Source organism: Homo sapiens, chromosome 4 (genome assembly GCF_000001405.40).
Source record: "Homo sapiens chromosome 4, GRCh38.p14 Primary Assembly".
Taxonomy (NCBI): Eukaryota; Metazoa; Chordata; class Mammalia; order Primates; family Hominidae; genus Homo; species Homo sapiens.
This window is the reverse complement of record NC_000004.12, coordinates 187026943-187053583: the sequence shown is the minus strand read 5'-3', so window position 1 is coordinate 187053583 and position 26641 is coordinate 187026943. Positions and strand designations below refer to the sequence as shown.

The 26641-nt window shown below is 40.8% G+C and overlaps 1 long non-coding RNA gene across 7 annotated transcripts in view; it reads right to left on the bottom strand.

The window, feature by feature from the left end:
- Positions 1-26641, bottom strand: part of LOC102723906 (uncharacterized) — a 220555-nt gene that overhangs the window by 7633 nt on the left and 186281 nt on the right. The window contains exon 1 of one of the 7 annotated variants that reach the window (XR_007058504.1): positions 26135-26334. The exons of the other annotated variants lie outside the window; for them this stretch is intronic. This is a non-coding gene — a long non-coding RNA (uncharacterized LOC102723906). Of the gene's footprint in view, positions 1-26134; positions 26335-26641 lie in introns of those variants that run through there. 7 annotated transcript variants of the gene reach the window in all.

The following is a 26641-nucleotide window of genomic DNA, read 5'->3' as shown; positions in this document are numbered from 1 at the left end:
TCTAGTTCTTTTAATTGTGATGTTAGGGTGTCAATTTTGGATCTTTCCTGCTTTCTCTTGTGGGCATTTAGTGCTATAAATTTCCCTCTACACACTGCTTTGAATGTGTCCCAGAGATTCTGGTATGTTGTGTCTTTGTTCTCATTGGTTTCAAAGAACATCTTTATTTCTGCCTTCATTTCGTTATGTACCCGGTAGTCATTCAGGAGCAGGTTGTTCAGTTTCCATGTAGTTGAGCGGTTTTGAGTGAGTTTCTTAATCCTGAGTTCTAGTTTGATTGCACTGTGGTCTGAGAGATAGTTTGTTATAATTTCTGTTCTTTTACATTTGCTGAGGAGAGCTTTACTTCCAACTATGTGGTCAATTTTGGAATAGGTGTGGTGTGGTGCTGAAAAAAATGTATATTCTGTTGATTTGGGGTGGAGAGTTCTGTAGATGTCTATTAGGTCCACTTGGTGCAGAGCTGAGTTCAATTCCTGGGTATCCTTGTTAACTTTCTGTCTCGTTGATCTGTCTAATGTTGACAGTGGGGTGTTAAAGTCTCCCATTATTAATGTGTGGGAGTCTAAGTCTCTTTGTAGGTCACTCAGGACTTGCTTTATGAATCTTGGTGCTCCTGCATTGGGTGCATATATATTTAGGATAGTTAGCTCTTCTTATTGAATTGATCCCTTTACCATTATGTAATGGCCTTCTTTGTCTCTTTTGATCTTTGTTGGTTTAAAGTCTGTTTTATCATAGACTAGGATTGCAACCCTTGCCTTTTTTTGTTTTCCATTTGCTTGGTAGATCTTCCTCCATCCTTTTATTTTGAGCCTATGTGTGCCTCTGCATGTGAGATGGGTTTCCTGAATACAGCACACTGTTGGGTCTTGACTCTTTATCCAATTTGCCAGTCTGTGTCTTTTAATGGGAGCATTTAGTCCACTTACATTTAAAGTTAATATTGTTATGTGTGAATTTGATCCTCTCATTATGATGTTAGCTGGTGATTTTGCTCATTAGTTGATGCAGTTTCTTCCTAGTCTCGATGGTCTTTACATTTTGGCATGATTTTGCAGCGGCTGGTACCGGTTGTTCCTTTCCATGTTTAGTGCTTTCTTCAGGAGCTCTTTTAGGGCAGGCCTGATGGTGACAAAATATCTCAGCATTTGCTTGTCTGTAAAGTATTTTATTTCTCCTTCACTTATGAAGCTTAGTTTGGCTGGATATGAAATTCTGGGTTGAAAATTCTTTTCTTTAAGAATGTTGAATATTGGCCCCCACTCTCTTCTGGCTTGTAGAGTTTCTGCCAAGAGATCCACTGTTAGTCTGATGGGCTTCCCTTTGTGGGTAACCCGACCTTTCTCTCTGGCTGCCCTTAACATTTTTTCCTTCATTTCAACTTTGGTGAATCTGACAATTATGTGTCTTGGAGATGCTCTTCTCGAGGAGTATCTTTGTGGTGTTCTCTGTATTTCCTGAATCTGAATGTTGGCCTGCCTTGCTAGATTGGGGAAGTTCTCCTGGATAATATCCTGCAGAGTGTTTTCCAACTTGGTTCCATTCTCCCTGTCACTTTCAGGTACACCAATCAGACGTAGATTTGGTCTTTTCACATAGTCCCATATTTCTTGGAGGCTTTGTTCATTTCTTTTTCTTTTTTCTCTAAACTTCCCTTCTCGCTTCATTTCATTCATTTCATCTTCCATCGCTGATACCCTTTCTTCCAGTTGATTGCATCGGCTCCTGAGGCTCCTGCATTCTTCACGTAGTTCTCGAGCCTTGGCTTTCAGCTCCATCAGCTCCTTTAAGCACTTCTCTGTATTGGTTATTCTAGTTATACATTCGTCTAAATTTTTTTCAAAGTTTTTAACTTCTTTGCCTTTGGTTTGAATTTCCTCCTGTAGCTCGTAGTTTGATCGTCTGAAGCCTTCTTCTCTCAACTCGTCAAAGTCATTCTCCGTCCAGCTTTGTTCCATTGCTGGTGAGGAACTGCGTTCCTTTGGAGGAGGAGAGGTGCTCTGTTTTTTAGAGTTTCCAGTTTTTCTGCTCTGTTTTTTCGCCATCTTTGTGGTTTTCTCTACTTTTGGTCTTTGATGATGGTGATGTACAGATGGGTTTTTGGTGTAGATGTCCTTTCTGTTTGTTAGTTTTCCTTCTAACAGACAGGACCCTCAGCTGGAGGACTTTTGGAGTTTGCTAGAGGTCCACTCCAGACCGTTTGCCTGGGTATCAGCAGCGGTGTTTGCAGAACAGCGGTTTTTCGTGAACTGTGAATGCTGCTGTCTGATCGTTCCTCTGGAAGTTTTGTCTCAGAGGAGTACCCAGCCGTGTGAAGTGTCAGTCTGCCCCTACTGGGGGGTGCCTCCCAGTTAGGCTGCTCAGGGGTCAGGGCTCAGGGACCCACTTGAGGAGGCAGTCTGCCCGTTCTCAGATCTCCAGCTGCATGCTGGGAGAACCACTGCTCTCCTCAAAGCTGTCAGACAGGGACATTTAAGTCTGCAGAGGTTACTGCTGTCTTTTTGTTTGTCTGTGGCCTGCCTGCAAAGGTGGAGCCTACAGAGGCAGGCAGGCCTCCTTGAGCTGTGGTGGGCTCCACCCAGTTCGAGCTTCCCGGCTGCTTTGTTTACCTAAGCAAGCCTGGGCAATGGCGGGCACCCCTCCCCCAGCCTCGCTGCCACCTTGCAGTTTGATCTCAGACTGCTGTGCTAGCAATCAGTGAGACTCCATGGGCGTAGGACCCTCCGAGCCAGGTGCGGGATATAATCTCCTGGTGCGACATTTTTTAAGCCCGTCGGAAAAGCGCAGTATTCGGGTGGGAGTGACCCGATTTTCCAGGTGCCGTCTGTCACCCCTTTCTTTAACTAGGAAAGGGAACTCCCTGACCCCTTGCGCTTCCCGAGTGAAGCAATGCCTCGCCCTGCTTCGGCTCGCACACGGTGCGCGCACCCACTGACCTGCGCCCACTGTCTGGCACTCCCTAGTGAGATGAACCCGGTACGTCAGATGGAAATGCAGAACTCACCTGTCTTCTGTGTCGCTCACGCTGGGAGCTGTAGACCGGAGCTGTTCCTATTCAGTTCTGCAAATCTTGAAACAGTCATAATATTCCTTTGTTGGATATGTAGTTTACAAATGTTTTATCCATTGCTGTGGCTTCTTTTTCATCCTCTTAGCAAGGTCTTTTACAGATTAAGTTAAAACCAGAGAATTCCCTTATCCTCCTCGCAGGACATGTGACAGGGGGATGGCCCACTTCACTGGTGCCCCAGTGCTCAAACCCCTAGGCGCAAGCTTATGTTTTTATTGACAAAAATTTAGTTTGCATGGTTCTATCTCATTTAAACTAAATTCTTCCAAATACTAGAGTTCTATTTGATGTCTGTACTCCTTAGGGTCTTTTTAAATAGAATTGAAAGAACCTTAGAAATAGGAAGCTGTGTGTTGCTATAGGCACCCTAGTACATGGACCGAAGCAGTGAAAGACCAGAATCCTAAGTCCAGGCCCATGAATTTTAAATGAGTCCTCAATTAGAGAGTGAATTCTCTAGCTCCTAATTAAAGAGGCTTTAATCACAGACAATGAATAAAAAGCGTGGAATAACAAGTGGCATAAGGGAAGAAATCATAATTATTTAGATGGGAGGAAGCTGTGATGGAAAAAAATCTGTGCAGTAACATTCGCTGATCATACTTCCCAGGCATGGCTTCAAAAGACATTTCCTCTTTCTCTCTAGAAAACTGGATTTACCTCAATCACAGATTCCTTTGAAAATGAGTTAGTAGGGAATTCCAAGCTTCAACAACACGTCTTCTCATGGAAAGACAATAATCCTAAATTGGTAAATGGAAAAGACAACAGGTTTTAAACATAGCCTAAAATGAGATATTGTGTTTTGTAAATAATGTATATAAACGTGTCTATTTTAAAAGTTCTAGAAGGATATACACCTAGATATTGATAGCAATTATCTTGAGTGGTAGAATTGTGAAATTTATCTCTCTCTTTTGCATATACATATACATTTATGTATATGTAGATAATTTACTTGTATACTGTATTTACTTGTATACTATATATATACTGTTTTTCTAAAAGGAAAGGCATGTTTATGTTTTAATTTTTAAAAACATACCTATGGATGATTAACAACTAACTTTCAAAGAAATAAAATAGGCTAATTCCTAGTTGCACATGTTTGTGAATAAACCAAATCCATCCAATGAAAGTGTATATTGTGTGGATAAAATATCTATTGTATTTGGGGAAGTTATAGTACCACTTATCCAACAAAACATTTGGTCCTTCTAAGATGTCAGAATTTATCTACTCCTATTTTTACAAAATTTGAGAAACAAAAAATCTTCTTTTCTTCCAGATGTTCACATCATGGTACTATTATTACTTTTATTATGGTATATTAAGGACAGATGAAAAACAAAAAAATAATACATTCATATGAACTTATTAGCATTTAAAAATAAATTTCTATTTTGTTATATTTTAAAAGCAGTAGCACAAATAAATGACATATATCATTTATTCAGTCTATAAATGATGACAAAGTTCATGGCACATATTGACTGATAATCACTGGCAATAATTCCAAACCCCCAGGACCCAAAGAACCACAGAGAGGGTATCCCTGGCATCTCTAGTGTGGGTACAACCTGAATTGCCTGCACTTTATATTATAAAAGGGACTTTCCTGAGATGTCCTTCCACCTTCATTCCCCTTCTCCTGTGCCTTCTCTCACCTGCTCACCCCCTCTCTCCACCAAGGGGCAGGAGATGTGTGATAGGAGATGGAGATTCAGCCAGTGCCAAGAAGCAGGGCACTGAGTGAAAAAACAGCGTGAGTGCAGATTACATAGAAGTGTCCCCCTTGCGCTTCAGAGCCCTTCTTCTCAGGATCCCACAGCACCCCATGCCCGTGAGCTGCCTTAATCATACATCAAATTCAGCACTCATGGCAGGAGCTGCTGCTTCCAGTCCTTTTTGTGCATTTGTCTTTCCTATATATGCAATAAAACTCTAACTTGATCATAAACTGTGTCCTCTCTGTGCCTATGGTTGGAACGTGTGTATTTCTAGTCAAACCTGGTAAGCCGATGTCAGAGCCCAAGAGAAGTCTATAGCCATCGGGCTGAGAGTCGTCCTGGAAAAAAATTCAACCAAGTAGGATGTAAACACTTTGTTTCAGTGAAGGAAGATGCACGGAACTGAGGAGAAAGCCTCTCCGAGGTTGATTTGAACAAACAGCCAAGGAGCCTGTTAAGAAAGAACGCATCCTAAAGCATTACGAACTGACTGGGCACAGTTTGAAAGGTTCAAAAATGGATGGTGCTTGGATACTGTGTCAGTTTAGTTTGTTCCCGGTCCCCTTTCCAAGGAAAAGGAGAATTGTGCATCAAAGGTGAAAACCTTGAATCCTGAAATTTCTATAAATCATTGAGGCACAGCAAAGTCACCCCCAGAGCCCTTCAAATGGGTTACAGTTCAAAGGGCGGAGGCAGAACGGCCGGTAAATCGAGCCAGGACCAGTGTGCCTGTGGCAAACGGATCACGACCCCAAACACAGGCTCTGCGCTTGCAGTTTAGATTTATAGGCCAATCACCAAGCCTCAAGCCGCCAATAAAAAGGGGAGAGTGTATGTTTCCACCCGATTATGACTGAGCCTCTTTGTGGCCAGCCGGCTTGCCAAGAGAGCGGCTGGCTCACAGTGGGCATCCTCTCATTTTGAAAGGCCTGAGGATGCGGCGGGGGGTAAACAAAGCATGTGTTTCCAAACTTCAGATGTTACACCAACTATTCTTTTTACCTTGTCCGTTAAAATTGGGCCAAAGGACTTACTCTTAAGTTTGCTAACTTCCTTCCCTGGGCAATTTCTGGGCTTCATCACTCATATGATCCCAGGAATTTACTGCACTTTGTAGAGCTCCTCTGCCAGAGAATGTGGTGTCTCTTCTTGGTTTATCTGTTCATCTGTCCATTCCCTCATCCTGTGAAGCAGGGTGACGGGGAGAGAAGAGGTACCAAAATCCGGCCTGGTCATCCCATCCTTTGGAAAGGTGGCTGCCCACTGTGTATTCCCAGGGGAACCCCCAAGTCTAACTGTGAAGGTCAGGCTTCCCTAGAGCCAACCAGACACATGGATCCTTGGTTGCTGTCCCCTGCCAGAGGCTCTAAGTTAAATATATATAGATATATGTATATCTCATATATATATATATGTAAATGTTTACTGGTAAATACACTCTTCTTTAAAGAGAAGTTTTAAGCTTACAGCAAAATTGATCAGAACATACAGAGATTTCCCACAAGCCCCCACCCACCCCCGCACACACAGCCACCCCACTCTCAACATCCATTATTCGAGTGGGACATTTGTTACAACTGATGCACCTGCAATGTCATATCACCATCACCCAGAGTCCACGTTCCATTAGGGTTTGCTCTCAGTGTTGCACATTCTACGGGTTTTGACAAATATATAACAACGTGTGCACCACTGTACCATCCTACGAAATAGTTCCACCGTCCTAAAAATCCTGTTTTCTGCTTATTCCTCCCTCCCTCCCCAAAAACCCTGGCAACCATTATCTTTTCATTGTCCCCAAGCTGTGTCTTTTCCAGAGTGTCATAGAGTTCAGTTGTACAGTATGTACCCTTTTCAGATTGGATTCTTTTATTTACTTAGTAATATGCATTTAAGGTTCTTCTGTGTCTTCTCATGGTTTGATGGCTCATTTTTTTTTTAGCACTTTAAAAATATTCCATTGTCTGGATGTACCACAATTTATTGACGCATTCACCTACTGGACATCTTTGTTGCTTCCAAGTTTGGGCAATTATCAGTAAAGCTGCTATAAGCATGTACTTGCAGATTTTTGTGTGGACATGTATTTTCAGCTCATTTGGGTGAATACCAAGGAAAGCAATTTCAGGCTCCTATCGTAAAAGCATGTTTTGCTTCAGAAGAGGCTGCCAAACTGTCTTCCAAAGTGGCTGTGCCATTCTGCATTCCCACCAGCAACGGATGACAGTTCCTGTTGCTTCACACCTTTGCCAGCAATTGGTGGCGTCAGTGCTCTGGATTTTCATCATTCTGATAGGTGTATGGTAGTGTCTCGATGTTGTTTTAACAGAGAAAGATTTTCATCAAGACCCAGAACCAATGCCTGGTTCTTATCCACATGCCTTTCTATGATTACCTCTCTGAATTATGGGGTTGCAATGTCCAGAAACAAAGACACCATGGGGAAATCTCTAAGAGGCACACAGCATAGAGGTCTTATCAGGGGAGAGGAGAGCTAAGTCCAGAATGGGCTTTACCACTGCTTGTGTTAGTTTCCTATTGCTGCTGTAGTAAATTGCCACAAATTCCATTGCTTAAAACAGTGCTAATTTACTGTCTTAATGTTCTGGAGGTCAGAAATCCAAAATCAGTCTCACAAGGCTGAAGGCAAAGTGTCAGCAGGACGGGTTCCTTCCGAGGCTCTGGAGAACTGTTTTCCTGCCTTTTCCCACCCGTAGAAGCTGCTGCACTCCTTGGCAGGTGTCTCCTTTTCCGTCTTCAAAGCCGGCAGCATAGCCTGTCTCTCTGCCACCACGTCACCCTCTTCTGAGGTCACTTCTGCCTCCGCCTCCCTCTCACAAGGGTCTCGCGATGATGCTTAGAGCCCACCAGGACAATCAGGTCATCTTCCCATAGTGAGATATCAGCAAGGTCCCTTTTGACACATAAGGTAAGGTTCACAAGTTCCTGGGATTAGAACGTGGACATCCTTGGAGGTGTATTATTTAGCCCAGCACAAACACCAAGTAAGGACATCTACAGTCCAAAGCATTTTATGTTCTAACTGACATTTTAGATTCTTTAGATATACAAGATACTGCAAAAGAGACTATGTCTTACTGTTAGTAGAAAGAAAATAGATAAATCCTTGCCTTTACCTAAAGGAAATCCAGGTAAGAATGACAAAGCATTAATGACATTGGTAGATGCTAATTTCAACCCTTCATTATTAATTGTTTGTCTACCTTTTTTCCAATTTTGCCACGTAAGGGGGATCTGTCCCACTCTACCTGTAGCAGATTATCCCTGAATTATTAAAATCCAAATGAACATGTGGCAATTGGCTTCCATTATGCACAAATTTATAATTCACAAGGTATCTGCTTCTGTAGGTTGAGGGGTGGTGGCAGTTATTGGACACACAAAACCCAATGGGCTGTTAAATGCATCAAGGAATTTGAACCACATTACACATTTCAAGTTTCTCGATGAAAATGAGATGTAAAATGGGGGAATTAAACTGTGTTAATTCATTTTTGCCATTCGAGACTATGATTCAATGTTATAGAACCTAGCGAATCAACATTTATGTAATTGGGAGTTTTTTATTACATTCTGAAAGACAAAGTATTTTAAAAATTGATAAAGGCCTTTCAAACATTGTGTCCCTTAAAACCAAACTAGCTATAACTGTTATTTGTAGTCAACACTAAAACATAAGAAAACAAAAACAGGGCAGTGGAAAGTAGTAGAAAAAACATTAGATTTATAGCCAAAAAAAAAAAAAATCACAGAATTTTGGCTCTGATGATGCTGCTTATAGCTGTGTACTTTAAGACAAGCAGTTTGATTTCTCTAACCCTCTGTTTCCTTGTTTACAAAATTTGAACGATATTGCCTTCTTTGAAAGATTGTCACAATAAGTAGATGAAATACTGCATCTCAAGAGAATTGTTACATGTAAAGTAAGATGTTACTAGGAAGGGCCCACCATGGTCTATAGCTTACTTATAAACATATCCATTGTTAATTGAATTTTTGGTGGTTTAAATTAACTAAAAATGTTCAGGTATTCTTAAAGTTAAAAGTTACAATAACAAAATTCATCTCTAGCCCCAGAGGACAACTCTAAATTTACCATATTGTTGAAGTTACTATTGCTATTTTATCATCTAAGGAAATACTAACTTCTGGAAATAATAGTAGCTTCAGAAAAAAGGACATGGTTATGGTGTCAAGAGGGCTGAAATGAAAGACATCTAACTCAGCCATTCCATTTGATGTGAAAGAACAGGTACAAAGGTACTGACATGACCGGGAGATAGAGAGGGGCAAACAGCCTAAGGAGAAAACAGCAATTTAAATGACTGAAATCTACAAATGTTTTCATTTAATATATAGTCTTTTAATTTAACACGTTTCGTAAGTAAACTCTCATGATATTTTCTAGAACAGCAATCCACAACCTTTTTGGCACCAGGAATCAGTTTCATGGAAGACAATGTTTCCATGGACGGGTGTTGTGGGGAGACAGTGACAGATCATCAGGCATTAGATTCTCATAAGGAGCATGCAACTTAGATCCCTCACATCTGCAGTTCACAATAGGTTTTGTGCTCCTCTGAGAATCTGATGCTGCTTCTGCTCTGACCAGAGGCAGAGCCCAGGCGCAGTGCGAAGGATGGGGAGCAGCTGTTATACAGATGAAGCTTTGCTTGCTCATCTGCCAATCACTTCCTGCATGCTGCCTGGTTCCCACACTGGTTCATGGCCTGGGGGTTGCGGACCCGTGTTCTAGAAGAGGCAAATAATAGTAGCAACAAGTACTACAAACACTCATCCTGAAGAGTTGCACCTACCTCCTAGAATTCTTATCAGGATTTAGAGTATAGCTCACTGAGCTGCCCCCAACCCAGGCCTTTGCCCTGTGACCCCCTGCTCACCCCTGTGTAGCAACCGAAAAGTTAATTTAAGCCTGGTATGAATAGACCCTCCAGGACTCTACCCCAGGACCACAGCCAGTATCCCTTCTGATTGGTCCACACCTGTGCTGTCCAGGGCGTTCCATGTTTTAAATATCACCTCAGCTCACATATAGACCAGTTACTCTTCTCTGTATGTATTCAGAGGTCGGCCTTCCAGATCAGCGGCAAATCCTGACACCTAATTATAGGCACCTTTTACAATTTTCTGTGGATCTAGGATTTCTGTTCAGTACCATCCAAGTGGGGCATTATACAGAGTAGCCAGTCAATACATATTTGTTGTTAGATTGTTCCCAAATATCCTACTTTCAACAAGTAATCTACACTCCTTTACCTTTCCACTCAGATACAGTGTTTTACCTGTTAATAATTTAGCTGCACCTTTTTTTCTCTTGGAATCTTTGCATTGATTCACAATTATCTTCAAATGGGAAAATTAAATCTGTAAATAATTCTTAATAGTCACAGGACCAGGACCCAATCTGCATATGCCATGGATTGCTGTGTTCTAACAAAGCAAGCATAAGCTAGAGTTGTTTATTTATTTATTACAAAATGAATACTGGTTATAAAAAAAAACCTGCTCTGTTTATCAGCTTCCTCAGAGGTAAACACTGTTAATATAGAAACACTTTTCTACATGACTTCTAAAATTTTTGATACAAAAAAATGAGGCTTTATTATAAAAGTTTTCTAGTTCTTGCTTTTTTCCCTTGACAGGTTCTTGTCAACCTCTTTTCATGCCAGTACATCAAAGTCCTGTTGATGGTCATTTAGATTATTCAACTGCAAATAACATTGTAGAAATATCTTTGAATAACATCTTTGAAATGATTGACAAGAGTGATAAAATATTAATTGTATGCATATTTATACCAAAATAAAAATAGTGGGTATTTTTGAGAATTGGATTTTCTTTTGATTTTTCCCTTATCTTTTCTTCTATATTCTCCTAATTTTCTACACTGAACATGTATTAATTTCATAATCACACAAAAATTTTCTAAAACTGAAATTTAAAACACACTGAGGAAAATAAATATTCAATGTACCAAAAATTAATTCCACCGCACTGTAATAAATTATCTGTTGGTCAATGCTTTCATTGTATACTAGACCCTGTGGATTGAACAAGGTCTTTACCTATGCTCCATTCATCAAAATGAATGCTTAAAATATCTTTCCATTTAATATGGTCTCAAAGGGATTTGGCAAAATGCCTGCTTGAATGCATTATTAAATATGTCCAGGAGAATACTGTTTTGATTTCATAAGTCAACTTCGGAAGACAAAGAACACAGCCACCACAACATTCTTCAGTTAACTATGATCAAGTTGGTTCTAGTCAATTGTACGTACCTTGACGGCCTTTGATTAAACTGTGTCATTACAATCACGCCAGTGGATCGCCATCATTTGAATTTGACTCATGGAAAAAGTATTACATAATTTCTTTTTTTTTTTTTGAGACAGAGTTTTGCTCTTGTTGCCCAGGCTGGAGTGCAGTGGCGTAATCTCAGTTCACTCAGTTCACCACCTCCCGAGTTCAAGCAATTCTCCTGCCTCAGCCTCCAGAGTTGCTGGGATTACAGGCTTGCACCACCACGCCCAGCTAATTTTGTATTTTTTAGTGGAGATGGGGTTTCGCCATATTGGTCAGGCTGGTCTCGAGCTCCTGACCTCAAGTGAACCACCCACCTTGGCCTCCCAAAGTGCTGGCATTACAGACATGAGTCACCATGCCCGGCAGTATATATAGATATATACATTTTTTTGAGACAGAGTCTTGCTCTGTCGCCCAGGCTGGAGTGCGGGGGTGACCGCGGCTCACTGCAACCGCCATCTCCCGAGTTCAAGCTATACTAGTGCCTCAGCCTCCAGAGTAGCTGAGACTACAAGCATGCGCCACCACACTTGGCTAATTTTTGTATTTTTAGTAAAGATGGGGGTTCACCATTTTGGCCAGGCTGGTCTCAAACTCCTGGCCTCAAGCAATCTGCCAGCCTTGGCCTCCCGAAGTTCTGGGATTACAGGCGTGAGCCACCATGGCCGGCCCCTCTATAAATATTTTCAAACCATATGACCACTTTATTTGTTTAGATAGAGATTTTTCAACCCCTGAGGAAAGAGCTCTTACTGTCTAGGCTCTCACTGACCACCAGTGCTTTGATCACCATTTTTAAAATTTTAATTGATTAGAAAAAAAAAAGAACAATGTGCCAGCTTCAGCTAAACATACCAGAGAAAGATAAAATTAGTAACCATGCGTGGGGTGGTACAGAATTCCAGGGGTTTATTAGGCATAATCCCACCTCAAGATGAACTCACATGTAAATATTTATGCCGGGTCCAGTGGAAACCTACACACAACAGATGGCTCTCAGGAACAGTAAGGAGCTGGAGATCCACTGGGAGCCACGAAGTTCCAAGACTGGCTTAACATGATTCAGGGCAATAAGGCAATCCGTTGGACTGGAAATGAAGTTGGCATGCTGATAGAATTTTCAGAAACGTAAGTGTTATTGCATTTATCCATGGAAATATAAAGTAAGCTTTCCTACATTGGATTCCTTCTTCCTTGCCCATTCAAGATATTTTTTCAGCTTTCAACTGATTTTATCCGTGCTCTAAGAATCCCACTATTTGGGAAGCTGCTATATCTACCTAACCATCATCTTTTGCTGAAAAATATTCCCTGTGGTGAAAGTATTTTGTGGAATTGTCTATGAAAATGTTAATTATTTTTGAGGTTGTGTCAATGACTTCATGACTAGAGTCAAAAATGCACCTGGGATTTTTGTCCGTCATGGCTGGGAATTACTGCTGCATTCGCCAGTGCAATGGTTAAATGGAATGAGCATGTGAGGCCCAAATGTAGGACCTTGGCAAGCAAGAGTGCCTGGTTTGATTGTATGTTTTCATTTTGTAGAAGGATGTCACAAGCTTTTAAATTGGGTATAAAATGACAGATAGTTACATGACTACTTTTATCTATAAGACAAGGGAGTTGAACAAAATTATTTCTAAGTTCCCTTTGATTTTTGAAATCCCATGATTCTACCTTTATCACTCTCAACATGACAGTAACGGCTGCCCACTGCTGTAACAGCATTCCAAGAAGGTTTTTTAATGACCATCGACTGCCAACTATCATTTTCCGTGTCACTGGCCCAGAAAAAGGCAGGTCCATTTGGAATTTATAGAAAATGAGGCATTAGAACCACAGACTAAAGCTATCCGTTCCTGTGTGGCTTCAGACATAGGGTTTTAGCTGAACAGAGAAAGCATTTCTTAATGGTGACTATTTTGGCCAATCCGTACAAAACCTCATCACCCTTACAAATAGAAGCGATTAATTAGAGTAATGATGACCAATCTTTGGTGCCAGTTCCCAGAAAGTAAAATGCATGTCAAAATATTCCTAAAAGGTTATCTTGGCTGGGCAAAGATGGAACATGAATGCTTTTTCCAAGGTGGCAAATGAACAACAGCCCTCCTCTGCGACTATCCTCTGTGACTGCCTTTTATTATTTTTTGAAAAACGAAGAGGCTTTTGGGGACTAGGAAGGAGTAAAAGGCAAGAGTAGAAAAATGGGAGGTATTAGATGGTATCTGAATACTGCATCTCAAGGATTCAGTAAAAGCTCATGAAAATGCTTTGAGACTCTGAGCTTAAGAAGCACTGTGCTGGGACCCAAGTAACCACAGGGAGAAGCCACAGGTAGCCTCTCTACTTCACCATCTAATACGACAGCAGCAGCTTAAAGCAGCAGCTTAGGGCTTAGGGGCAATAGACCTCCAAGAAGAATTTGAGGGAAAGAAAGAAAATTAAAAGCCGTATTCCTGAGGAAGTCATTGCCACTTCGGGGATTCCTGAGATTACCTGGGAAAGGATCTGGCCTGAGTTGCCGCCTGGAGATTTGGAGATAAGTAGATTTGGGTGTCGCTGTTAGCATGATCACATTTTTACCTGCAAGTAATGAAGGTTAGAATATATACACTAATGGTAGATGAATTCCAAAAATTTAGATTTTTACCTGACATAGTGATACAGATACCCTCTATTTTGGTAAATAAAGAGGTAAAATTGAGAGCAAGCCAAAATTCATTTTTTTCAGAGTGAACTGAAGTTAAATAGGAAGTTTTAAAGTAGAGAAGTAGAAAGATTGTTGTGTGCAAATATCACTATTATACTTTAAGGAAGTGTTATCCCTCAGTATTAACTATGGAAACTGGCCAAGTCAATACAACACTCTGGCCTTATTTTTTAATTACAAAAATAGGAGGATAAATAAAGTGATTCTTAAAGCCCTCTATAAGTTTTAATGTTTGTAATATTCCATGATTCTGCCAATTGCTTCTAAGAAAAAAATAATATATATTATATATAATATATATAGATCATATATTATATATAGTATATATAGATCAAAGGCAGTTGGTAATTTGGGTGTTAGGTCCTTTGATTATTCGGTTACTTTTATTTTTGATGTTTTGATATAACATAAACTACTGTAATTATCAACATCGATTTTAGTCTTTAAAATATTACCTCCATTTAGACCTATAGTAACGTGAGAAGTTTTCTATTTTTAGCCATGAAATCCTCTGCACCACAGTCACAAATTCAGGTGGAACAAAGCATTTGCCTTCTCTATATGGTATGCCAACCTCTCTATACGGTATGCCAACCTCTCTATACAGTATATGCCAACCTCTCTATACGGTATGCCAACCTCTCTATACGGTATCCCAACCTCTCTATATGGTATATGCCAACCTCTCTATATGGTATATGCCAACCTCTCTATAAGGTAGGCCAACCTCTCTATACAGTATGCCAACCTCTCTATACGGTATATGCCAACCTCTCTATATGGTATATGCCAACCAGCTAGAGGAAAAACATATCCCAATGCTGCACTACTCCAGGAGCAACAGGGTCCCCAGATTCAGGTGATCTTCTTCCCTTTAGTCCCTCATTCAACACAATTCACTTCCATAGAGGTATGGTTTCTAGCCTACACCAGTTTATTCATGTAGCAATCAAGCATACTGGGTCGCACTGAAAATGAAATCTCAATCTGCTTCACTAAGGGAACTTTTTATTTCTTTTAAGCTCTGTCTTTGATTATTACCCCATGGCACAGGAAAAGCAGTGATAAAGCACTTTCACTGATGTCACCCCTGTGGTATCTGTTACACCTGTGATGAAGTAATTATTCAACTATAATAACTGCTTATTAAAATGAAATGCAATAAATACTACAAAATCTGTAACTCGATTTAGCTACTTAGGAAATACGTAGCCATGGCCCATTAAGCTACCAACAGCAAACATCTATTCATGTGTGTATGTAATCTGCAATTGTATTCCCATGTTATTTTTAAACGCCCTGTGTTGTGATATCCTCAGTTCAATTATTAGCAAACAGGTGTCCTCATTATACAAAAAGTGTAAATGGCCATCAACAACTCCCCTGACAGCAGAGAAACTAAAGACTCAATTCTCATGGAGAATCACTTTGTCACGGAGATTATCTTTCAGCACCTGCCTGAGTGGAAGTGTCTTTTCTGCTGTACCTAATGCCTACCTGGGGAATAGATTCTACTTTGGACACTTCCATAAACATTAAAAACAAATTCTATCCAGAATAAATAATTCTAAGACTCACATAAGAAGCATTCTCTCACTGCCTCTGTGGATGTTACTTTGCTGGCTACAGGCAAAGAGTATAGTAAATACGGGAGAGGTGATACTGTGGTTAGCTACTACAAAAGATGAGGGAAAACAACAGATCTTAATAAATAAACGACATAGCGTTTTGTCTCCATGTTTCAAAGGAAATTGGCTTCTAAAGAAGAAAAGAAAAACCTACTTTCAAACTTTATTTGAACTGTCTAGAAAGAGATTATATAATCAAAACAAGAGAAAGCATAAAAGGAGTTCAACAGCTTGGGCAACACAGGAAGACTCTGCTTCTACAGAAAAATACAAAAATTAGCCAGGTGTGGTGGTGCATGCCTGTAATCCCAGCTACTTGAGAGGCTGAGGTCGGAGGATCACCTGAGCCTGGGAGGCAGATGTTGCAGTGAGCCAAGATTGTGCCACTGCTCTCCAGCCTGGGCAACAGGGAGAGACGCCATCTCAATCCAGCCTGGGCAACAGGGAAAGACCCTATCTCAAAAAAATAAAAAAAATAAAAACGAGCTTCAAGAAAACTGGGATTTGTCTTCCCTTTATCTGTATTTTCTGAAAGCATATAACCTGCCCTACTCACTTCTTCTTCTTCTTCCCATTGCTTGTAGTTTCTTTCTGTTTAAAATTTTAGTAATAATGATTGCCTCTGAAGTGTGTTATAAGTTCTACTAGAACTTCGTGACCTTGAAAAAAGACCTTAATGACCTTGGAGGAAAAGAGTTTTCTCTCTTAACACACACACACACACACACACACACACACACACACACACACACACAGGCACATATACACACACACTATTTCACTGGTTGGCCATTCATCGTCTTAGCCTAAGTGTCAGTCATTGATATTTTAACAAAATCTATTCAATGTTTGCGTGTAACTGGCCATGCATGTATGTAGGAGGTGCGTTATTTGTTAATGTAGACACTCAACTGGAGGCTCTCTGTTACTTCCTAAACATTCTGAAGCTGATTTTTATAACTTGTCTTTGTGGCAGATACTAGGTGGAAACACTAACATAGTAAAGCACTCTGTATTTCTGCTCTGAAAGTCTTTATGAAAACACTCACAGTAGGGGAATTGCTATTTCAGATGAATTGAAAGCTCATATGCAAGCCCTCGCAGACAATAGAAGAGGAGTTTCTCAGGCACGCTGCTGGATTGACTTTGTAGTGGAGACAGAGATTTGCCCTGTTCATTAGTTGAAAAATAAGAGGAAAAGAGCAAGTTTTAAAGTAACTAATTGGGCTGAGTACAGTGGCCCATGCTTGTCATCCCAGCATTTTGGGAGGCTGAGGCAGGAAGATGGCTTGAGCTCAGAAGTTTGAGACTAGCCTAGGCAACATGGTGAAACCTCAGCTCTATTAAAAATACAAAAATTAACCAGCTATGGTGGTGTGCACCTGTAGTCCCAGCTACCTGGGAGGCTAGGGTGGAAGAATGGCTTGAGCCCAGGAGGTCGAGGCTGCAGTAAGCTGAGATAATGCCTCTGCACTCCAGCTGGGTGATAGAGAGTGAGACCTCATCTTAAAAATAATAATTAAAAAAAAAAACAGAAGCAAATAAATTTGAAAAAATAAAGTAAATAATTGAGATTAAAATTTTATCCTTTTAATTAAATTTCACTTTCTAGAATTGATATGCACCAGCTCATGACTTTTACCTTGTATTAGCACGATCAGAAAATCGAGGCTTTGCACCACCTAGTTTTTTAAACAACTAATTAGATTCACACCTTTTTTTTTTTTTTTGAAACAGAGTCTCTCTCTCTCTCTGTCACCCAGGCTGGAGTGCAGTGGCGCGATCTTGGCTCACTGCAAGATCCACCTCCTGGGTTCAAGCGATTCTCCTGCCTCAGCCTCCCAAGTAGTTGGGATTACAGGTGCCCACCACCGCACTCGGCTAATTTTTATATTTTTAGTAGAGACAGGGTTTCACCATGTTGGCCAGGCTGGTCTCGAACTCCTGACCTCAAGTGATCTGCCCGCCTTGGCCTCCCAAATTGCTGGGATTACAGGTGTGAGCCACCGCGCCCAACCAGTTCACGCCTTTTTAGAGCAGGTGTCCTTACACAGGCCTTGCAGATACTCTCTCACCCTCACAGCCCAGAAAACCACCAACCCCATCAGCTTGAGAGAGGCAAGCAGAATCTGTGATGGGCTGAAGGGGCTCATCAAAACACTGAAACACTGAAGCTATAGGCGGAATGTTTTCCTTACCTTTATGTGTGTTAGAGTTCTTCTTTGCAAACAGCAAAAACTAATTCTGGTGAATTCATGTGAGAAAGGAATTTAACAATACATTGGATAGTTCACTGAATTTACTGGAAATATATTACGTATCCCAGAAATCAGTTATAAAACCAAGGGAGGCCAGCGATTCAAAACAATAATGAAAACGATACCACAGGCAAGACTGGTTAAGACTCCTCTGCTATCGGACACGGCATTTCACCACTGGAAACAGCTGTTGCTGGCCTAGAACCTTGAATGCTGCTCCAGCTCATGCCTGGAGAATAAATGCTAAGCTGTGCCGACTTCTTTGCAACACTAACTCTGGTTTCAAGACCTGGGACTAAGCAGGATGAAGCCACGTGCCAGCATTCTATCTGTGCAGGTCACAGACTGCAAATTGGCCTCTGCCGATTCTGGGTTCCATGCTGGTGCTGAGGATTGATTGTCCCTAAAACTCATGCAATGAGTTTGACACTGAGCAGCTTAAAAGAAAATAGATATACAATGTAAATATATATGTAATGTATATAATGTAATAAAATTATGGAAAATATAATTTTATATAATTAATGTAATAATGTAAATATAATTATATATAATATATTATATATTATTAGTTGTATTAGTCTGTTTTCATGCTGCTGATAAAGAATACCCACAACTGGGTAATTTACAAACAAGAGAGGTTTATTGGACTCACAGTTCCACATGGCTGGGGATGCCTCACAATCATGGCAGAAGGCAAACCACATCATACATGGATGGTGGCAGGCAAAGAGAGAGCTTGTGCAGTCAAACTCCCATTTTTAAAGTCATCAGATCTCGTGAGACTTATTCACTATCATGAGAACAGCACAGGAAAGACCAGCCCCCATGATTCAATTACCTCCCACCAGGTTCCTCCAATGACACATGTGAATTGTGGGAGTTACAATTCAAGATGAGATTTGGGTGGGGACACAGACAAATCATATCATTAGGCCCCGACCCCTCCCAAATCTCATGTCCTCACATTTCAAAACCCATCATGCCTTCCCAACAGTCCCCCAAAGTCTTAACTCATTTCAGCATTAACTCAAAAGTCCACAGTCCAAAGTCTCATCTGAGAGAAGGCAAGTCCCTTTCACCTGTGAGCCTGTAAAATCAAAAGCAAGTTAGTTACTTCCTAGATACAATGGGGGTACAGTCATTGGGTAAATAACAGCCATTCCAAATGGGAGAAATTGGCCAAAACAAAGGAGCCATTGGCCCCACGCAAGTCTGAAATCCAGCAGGGATGTGAAATCAGAAAGCTCCAAAATGACCCCCTTTGACTCCATGTCTCACACCCAGGTCATGCTGAGGCAAAAGGTGGGTTCACCTAGTCTTGGGAAGCTCCACCCCTGTGGCTTTGCAGGGCATAGCCTACCTCCTGGCTGCTTTCATGGGCTGGCATTGGAAGTCTGCAGCTTTTCCAGATGCACAGTGCAAGCTGTCAGTGGATCTACCATTCTGGGGTCCAGAGGATGATGGCCCTCTTCTCACAGCTCCACTAGGTGGTGCCCCAGTAGGGACTCTGTGTGGGGCTCCAACCCCACATTTCCCTTCTGCATTGTCCTAGCAGAGGTTCTCCATGAGGGCCCTGCCCCTGCAGCAAACTTCTGCCTGGACATCCAGGCATTTCCATACATCTTCTGAAATCTAGATGGAGGTTTCCAAACCCCAATTCTTAATTTCCGTGCACTTGCAGGCTCAACACCATGTGGAAACTGCCAAGGCTTGGGGCTCCCACCCTCTGAAGTCACAGCACAAGCTCTACGTTGGCCCCTCTCAGCCATGGCTGGAGTGCCTGGGATGCAGGGCACCAAGTCCCTAGGCTGCACACAGCATGGAGACCCTGGGCCTGGCCCAGGAAACCACTTTTTCCTCCTAGGTCTTCAAGGGTGTGATGGAAGGGGCTGCCATGAAGACCTCTGACATACCCTGGAGACATTTTCCCCATTGTCTTGGTGATTAACATTTGGCTCCTGGTTACTTACCCAAATTTCTGCAGATGGCTTGAATTTCTCCTCAGAAAATGGGATTTTCTTTTCTATTGCATTGTCAAGCTGCAAAATTTCCAAACTTTTATGCTCTGCTTCCCTTATAAAACTGAATGCTTTCAACAGCACCCAAGTCATCTCTTACATGCTTTGCTGCTTAGAAATTCCTTCTGCCAGATACTCTCAAGTTCAAAGTTCTACAAATCTCTAGGGCAAGGGCAAAATGCTGCCAGTCTCTTTGCTAAAATATAACAAGTGTCACCTTTGCTCCAGTTCCCAAAAAGTTCCTCATCTCCATCTGAGACCACCTCAGCCTAGATTTCATTGTCCATATTATTATCAGCATCATGTTCAAAGCCATTCAACAAGTCTCTAGGGAGTTCCAAACTCTTCCACATTTTCCTGTCTTCTTCTGAGCCCTCCAAACTGTTTCAGCCTCTGCCTGTTACCCAATTCCAAAGTTGCCTCCACATTTTCAGGTATCTTTTCAGCAGCACCCACTCTACTGGTACCAATTTACTATATTAGTCTGTTTTCACACTGCTAATAAAGACATAGCCAAGACTGGGAAATTTACAAATGAAAGAGGTTTATTGGACTTAACAGTTCCACATGGCTGGGGATGCCTCACAATCATGGTGGAAAGCAAGGAGGACCAAGTCACATCTTACGTGAATGGTGGCAGGCAAAGAGAGAGCTTGTGCAGGCAAACTCTCATTTTTAAAACCATCAGATCTCATGAGATTTATTCACTATCACAAGAACAGCCAAGAAAAGATCCACCCCCATGATTCTATTACTTCCTACCAGATTCCTCCCAGGGACACATAGAAATTGTGGGAGTTGCAATTCAAGAGGAGATTTGGGTGGGGACACAGCCAAACCATATCACACACACACATATGTTTTAGGAAATTGTGCTTTTCACTGAAAATACAGTTTATAACTTTTATCAGATTCTTATCCATGTTGGTAACCTAATCAGACTAGGAACTGCTATGAATAGAATCATAGAACTTTACCTCCAGAAGGAACCAGAGAACCAAAGAGATGAAGAAGTCACACAGTACCAGCCATTAGTACAATTAACACAAGAGCCAGAGTAGAAAGTCTTGGAAAGCTGAAGCTGTTTGTATTTAAACAAACATAATCCTATTGATGGGCCTTCAATTTGAAATTTATATGTAACTTTGTATCTCCCAATAACTTTTCAATTTATGAGAATTGTCAAACTCCTTTACAGTCACTAGATGAAGAAAACTTATTGGCAGACACAGAAAAGATCTTCACCTTGTTAACTGATAGATTCAATGCCATCCCCATCAAGCTACCAATGACTGTCTTCACAGAATTGGAAAAAACTACTTTAAAGTTCATATGGAACCAAAAAAGAGCCCGCATTGCCAAATCAATCCTAAGCCAAAAGAACAAAGCTGGAGGCATTATGCTACCTCACTTCAAACTAGACTACAAGACTACAGTAACCAAAACACCATGGTACTGGTACCAAAACAGAGATATAGACCAATGGAACAGAACAGAGCCCTCAGAAATAATACCACACATCTACAACCATCTGATCTCTGACAAACCTGACAAAAACAGAAATGGGGAAAGGATTCCCTATTTAATAAATGGTGCTGGGAAAACTGGCTAGCCATATGTACAAAGCTGAAACTGGATCACTTCCTTACATCTTATACAAAAATTAATTCAAGATGGATTAAAGACTTAAATGTTAGACCTAAAACCATAAAAGCCCCAGAAGAAAACTAGGCAATACCATTCAAGACCTAGGCTTTACCATTCAGGACTCCATGACTAAAACACCAAAAGCAATGGCAACAAAAGCCAAAATAGACAAATAGGATCTAATTAAATTAAAGAGCTTCTGCAACTATCATCAGAGTGAACAGACAACCTACAGAATGGGAGAAAATTTTTGCAATCTACCCATCTGACAAAGGGCTAATATCCAGAATCTATAAAGAACTTAAACTAATTTACAAGAAGAAATGAAACAACCCCATCAACAAGTGGCCCAAGGATATGAACAGACACTTCTCAAAAGAAGACATTTATGCAGCCAACAGACACATGAAAAAATGTTCATCATCACTGGCCATCAGAGAAATGCAAATCAAAACCACAATGAGATACCATCTCACATCAGTTAGAATGGTGATCATTAAAAAGTCAGGAAACAACAGGTGCTGGAGAGGATGTGGAGAAATGGGAACACTTTTACACTGTTGGTGGGACTGTAAACTAGTTCAACCATTGTGGAAGACAGTGTGGTGATTCCTCAAGGATCTAGAACTAAAAATACCATTTGACCCAGCCATCCCATTACTGGGTATATACCCAAAGGATTATAAATCATGCTGCTATAAAGACACATGCACACATATGTTTATTGTGGCACTATTCACAATAGCAAAGACTTGAAACCAACCCAAATGTCCAGCAATGATAGACTGGATTAAGAAAATGTGGCACATATACACCATGGAATACTATGCAGCCATAAAAAATGACGAGTTCATGTCCTTTGTAGGGACATGGATGAAACTGGAAACCATCATTCTCAGCAAAGTATTGCAAGGACAAAAAACCAAACACCGCATGTTCTCACTCATAGGTGGGAATTGAACAATGAGAACACTTGGACACAGGGTGGGGAACATCACACACCGGGGCCTGTTGTGGGATGGGAGGGAGGGGGGAGGGATAGCATTAGGAGATATACCTAATGTAAATGACGAGTTAATGGGTGCAGCACACCAACATGGCACGTGTATACATATGTAACAAACCTGCACGTTGTGCACATGTACCCTAGAACTTAAAGTATAATAATAAAAAAAAGATCTTCACCTTATATGAAAAAAATTTAAAATAAATTTTAAAAACTGGATGTTGTAACTTGCCTGCAAGTTACTTCTCCTCTCGGGGCCACTTAGAAACGACAGCAACACTATTTCCACTCACTTCCAGTATTAAAGGTACAATTAGATCTCTAAATTAAAAAAAAATTATTTCTGGGGGCATATATGGTTCTATTGTGAAATAGTCTACGTTGAGTCAACGTTTGAGTTAATGAGCTTCATTAAAATGTGTTAGCAGATTCTTAAACATTTGCTTTGTAGAATTTCTTTCCTTTGCTTCCTTTTCTCCTTTTCTTTTTCCTTGCTTCCGTCCTATATTGAAGAAACGCACATAAACACTCGTGGAGGAAAGAATCACGTATCATGCATGGGTTTCTTTTGCTCCATCTGTACTACAATGACCACTTGTCACAATTCGACCTTTCATTTAAGAATTGGTTTTTTTTTTAATTTTTTTTTTGAGACGGAGTCTCGCTCTGTCGCCCAGGCTGGAGTGCAGTGGCGCGATCTCGGCTCACTGCAAGCTCCGCCTCCCGGGTTCACGCCATTCTCCTGCCTCAACCTCCCGAGTAGCTGGGACTACAGGCGCCCGCCACCGCGCCCGGCTAATTTTTTGTATTTTTAGTAGAGATGGCGTTTCACCGTGTTAGCCAGGATGGTCTCGATCTCCTGAACTCGTGATCCGCCCACCTCGGCTTCCCAAAGAGCTTGGATTACAGGCGTGAGCCACCGCGCCTGGCCAGAATTGTTTTACAAAGCTGAGAAAAAGATAATAATAGCTTAATATGAATAAGAGTAACAATGAGAAAAATGAAACTGGCCATCAAATATTTAAATATGTGTCTTTATTAATCTTTATTCAAGAAGCTTTCAGAATGCTTCAATTAACTTGTAAAATCCCATGAAGACCTATGAGTAGAAAAATACACCGTTCTTCATTTTATGTGTTAGCAAACCAAGGCAAAGAGAATGAAGGCTTCCTTAGGCATGCATTTTTAAGCAGTAACCAGGGGGTTACAAAGTCATCAACATAATAATAAGACAACTCAGACTTCTAGACCATGAATGAGGCAATACACTAGATAGTATGATTGTGTCAAGTAGATGTTAAATGAAATTGGTGGTCAATATTACCTAGTTAGTTAGTAATCATGGGCTGTGAATAATATATTGGAATAAAAGAGGCAAGGAGAAGGTGGTTGGTGGTGGGAGTGGGAAGTTATGACAGTTTTTTGGTGGCTTCAGAAGATATTTGATCTGAAGAGAGCAGAGAATTTAGAGGAAAAGTGAAGATCTGAAAATACATATTTGAATAAGTAACAGTAAGCTGTTTGTAGTTAAACTGTATCTTTCCTTTAAGCTGTTCGTATCTTTCCTTTCTAAGTGTCTGGATCGTGTATAATAGGAAGTATAAATTCCCTAAGTAGTTTGTTATTACTTGAAACATTACACTTAGGAGTTTAATTTGGGGAGAGCGGTTTATCAAAGCAGGATTTTAAGAAGACATGGCTGGTATTTCCATGAATAAACTTGACCTAGAGCACTGGTAGGGAGAATAAAAAGGTAGAAAAAAACTTACAAAAATATTACGAGAACACATGTAATACTGATACTCTTATTTGCCTTTCAACAATTTATGTCACACAATTGGCAGGAAATTGAGCCAGGTCCCAAACTCAAACGTTCTGACATCAAACAGTGGGCTCCTCCTACCTATACAGACTGTATTAAAAGGGAGGGTGGACATGAAGGTACACATTGATAAAAAGAGCATCAATTTATTTAGTAAAGGGGATAGCGATCAGAGCAAAGCTAAGGCCTAGAGATACACATTTCAGGGCAAGTTGGGAGAACTGAGTTTTCAGAGCTAATGTCAGTCTTTGCAATGAAGCAGGATTGTGTATTACTGAGGTAGAGAGAAGAGACAGGTCCAAGGCATCCTAGGTCTAGAACTTTTTCAAGTCTCTTAAGCTTGGTGCAATAGCAGAGAATATGGATGGGGAAGTGAAGTGGGGTATTTTTCCTAAAGTGGCATGACAATCACAGTCAAAGGTTGAGATAAGGAAGTCTACAATGTTGGTGACAGTTGCAATAAATGTCAAACTAAGGTTGCAAAGTCTGGAAGGGAAGCACAAAGAAGCCCCATGGATAGAGGGAAATGAAAGGAACAAGCACCTAGAAAGGTGAGAGAATGAAGAGCTTACAGGGGTGTACTGCCCTAGTGCATGAAGCTGCTGCCCAGACCAGTGTGGGGAGGACAGAGAAAGGCTTGGCTTGATGTGAGGCCTTTGATGAATGGCTTAGCCAAATGCTAAGGTGGTTGAAATGGGCTCCATGCTATTGCATCCACATCTGTATCATCGTTGACCTTGGAGGAGGAATCCTCTGGCACCATCGCTGAGCTCCAGGGGCGACTGTAACCCCCAGTCACCTAGTGCTGCCTCCTTTGCACCTGTGAGGCCAACAGCTGGTTGCTGGCATGGACTCTGTAACCGTTCTTCCTAGCTCTGAGTCACCTAACGCCATAGATGGATCTATATGCACTCCACAACCCAGGGAGCCGAGAGCTTCAAATAATTTTAAATCAAAAGTTTAGCCTCAGAGGGCATAAGGTTAACCAAAAGTCAGCTTTGCAAAGTCCATAAAACAGAATGAATAAAATAAAATGAGAAGCATGAACATAGCAGTCACTGGAAAGGGAATTTATGCTTCCTATTATACACGGTCCAGACACTTAGAAAGGAAAGATAAAGACCAAAACAAATTTTTTTTGAAAAAAGGCTTTCAAGAGATTACTTTAATGCATATTACTCTCTGTCAATAAAAGGCATGATCAGATATGCTGTAAAAATGGCTATGAATTTAGTCAGGATTATTCTCTTTCATTTTATTGGTGGCCGATATGCTAGGAAAAGATACTAAGAAAATATAAGCCTGCTTTGAAGCAAGTACATAAAAGACAACTTGGAATTTAGTAGCCATAACCCTTGGTCCTGATTCTAAGTGTCGCAACCTTGTGAAAAAGCAAGCATTTTTCAGTAAGGCTAAAGGGAAAATGACGGGGAGGCTCCAAATGGCATTTTTAATGTAAATTGTTAAGGCTCAGTGGAGATGATGAGCTTTTAAAAAAGAAAGAAAGAAAGAAATCACATTGACCAAGAATATATTTGGGAGTTCTCTCAGCAACAGTCATTTGAAATATGATCTATGAATGTTAAGGAAATGCACCGAGCCACAGTCGGCTACTACTAAGACCTTGCATCAGTGTCTGTCCAATTAACTTAATACATCTGATAATTATGCCCACACCATTAAAAGGTATTCGTTTTATGGGCTGTGGGTTGATAGGAAAGATTACTATTTTACCCATATCTGTAATGTCGACTGGAGAGCTGCCGCACTTAAGTTCCCTGCACTCACAGCTCATAAATTTGAGAACAAACTCTCTCCCACTCCCAGCCTTCCAACCCTCAGGCTGCACCAAGGAAGTATTTAAACTGGAAGAAAAAAAGCAGCTCACCAGCTGGAAGGGCTGCAGCAAGTCTAGGACACTGTGACGCAGAGTGCAGCCTTCAGAACGGAAGACCTGCAAGAGGACTCCAGTGCAACACATCTGCTCTTCCACTTCAATGAGACAAATGTCAGATTAGCTGCCGTCAGCAGCTTGCAGCAAACTCAGGGTGATCAAGGAAGGTGAGCTTTTCCTTTCTGATAAACTACACACACACACACACACACACACACACACACATATACATGCACATGCATACATTTTGCTTTCCTTTTCTTTCCAATATAAAAAGGGAAAGACATTGAAAGAAAGGTGAACTCATTCTTGGGGACATGTTCACAAGCTTAAAAGAAAGTACAGATCAGAAAATGGCTAAAAATTGTGGGTTTTTTAAATGGAAAGTTTGATGGCTTTTACAGGAAGAAGCAAGATATATGATAAAGACATCAATTTTTTGTTTTTTTTCTTAAATTAGTTAATAAATATTTACTGATGTGATATAGTTTGGATGTTTGT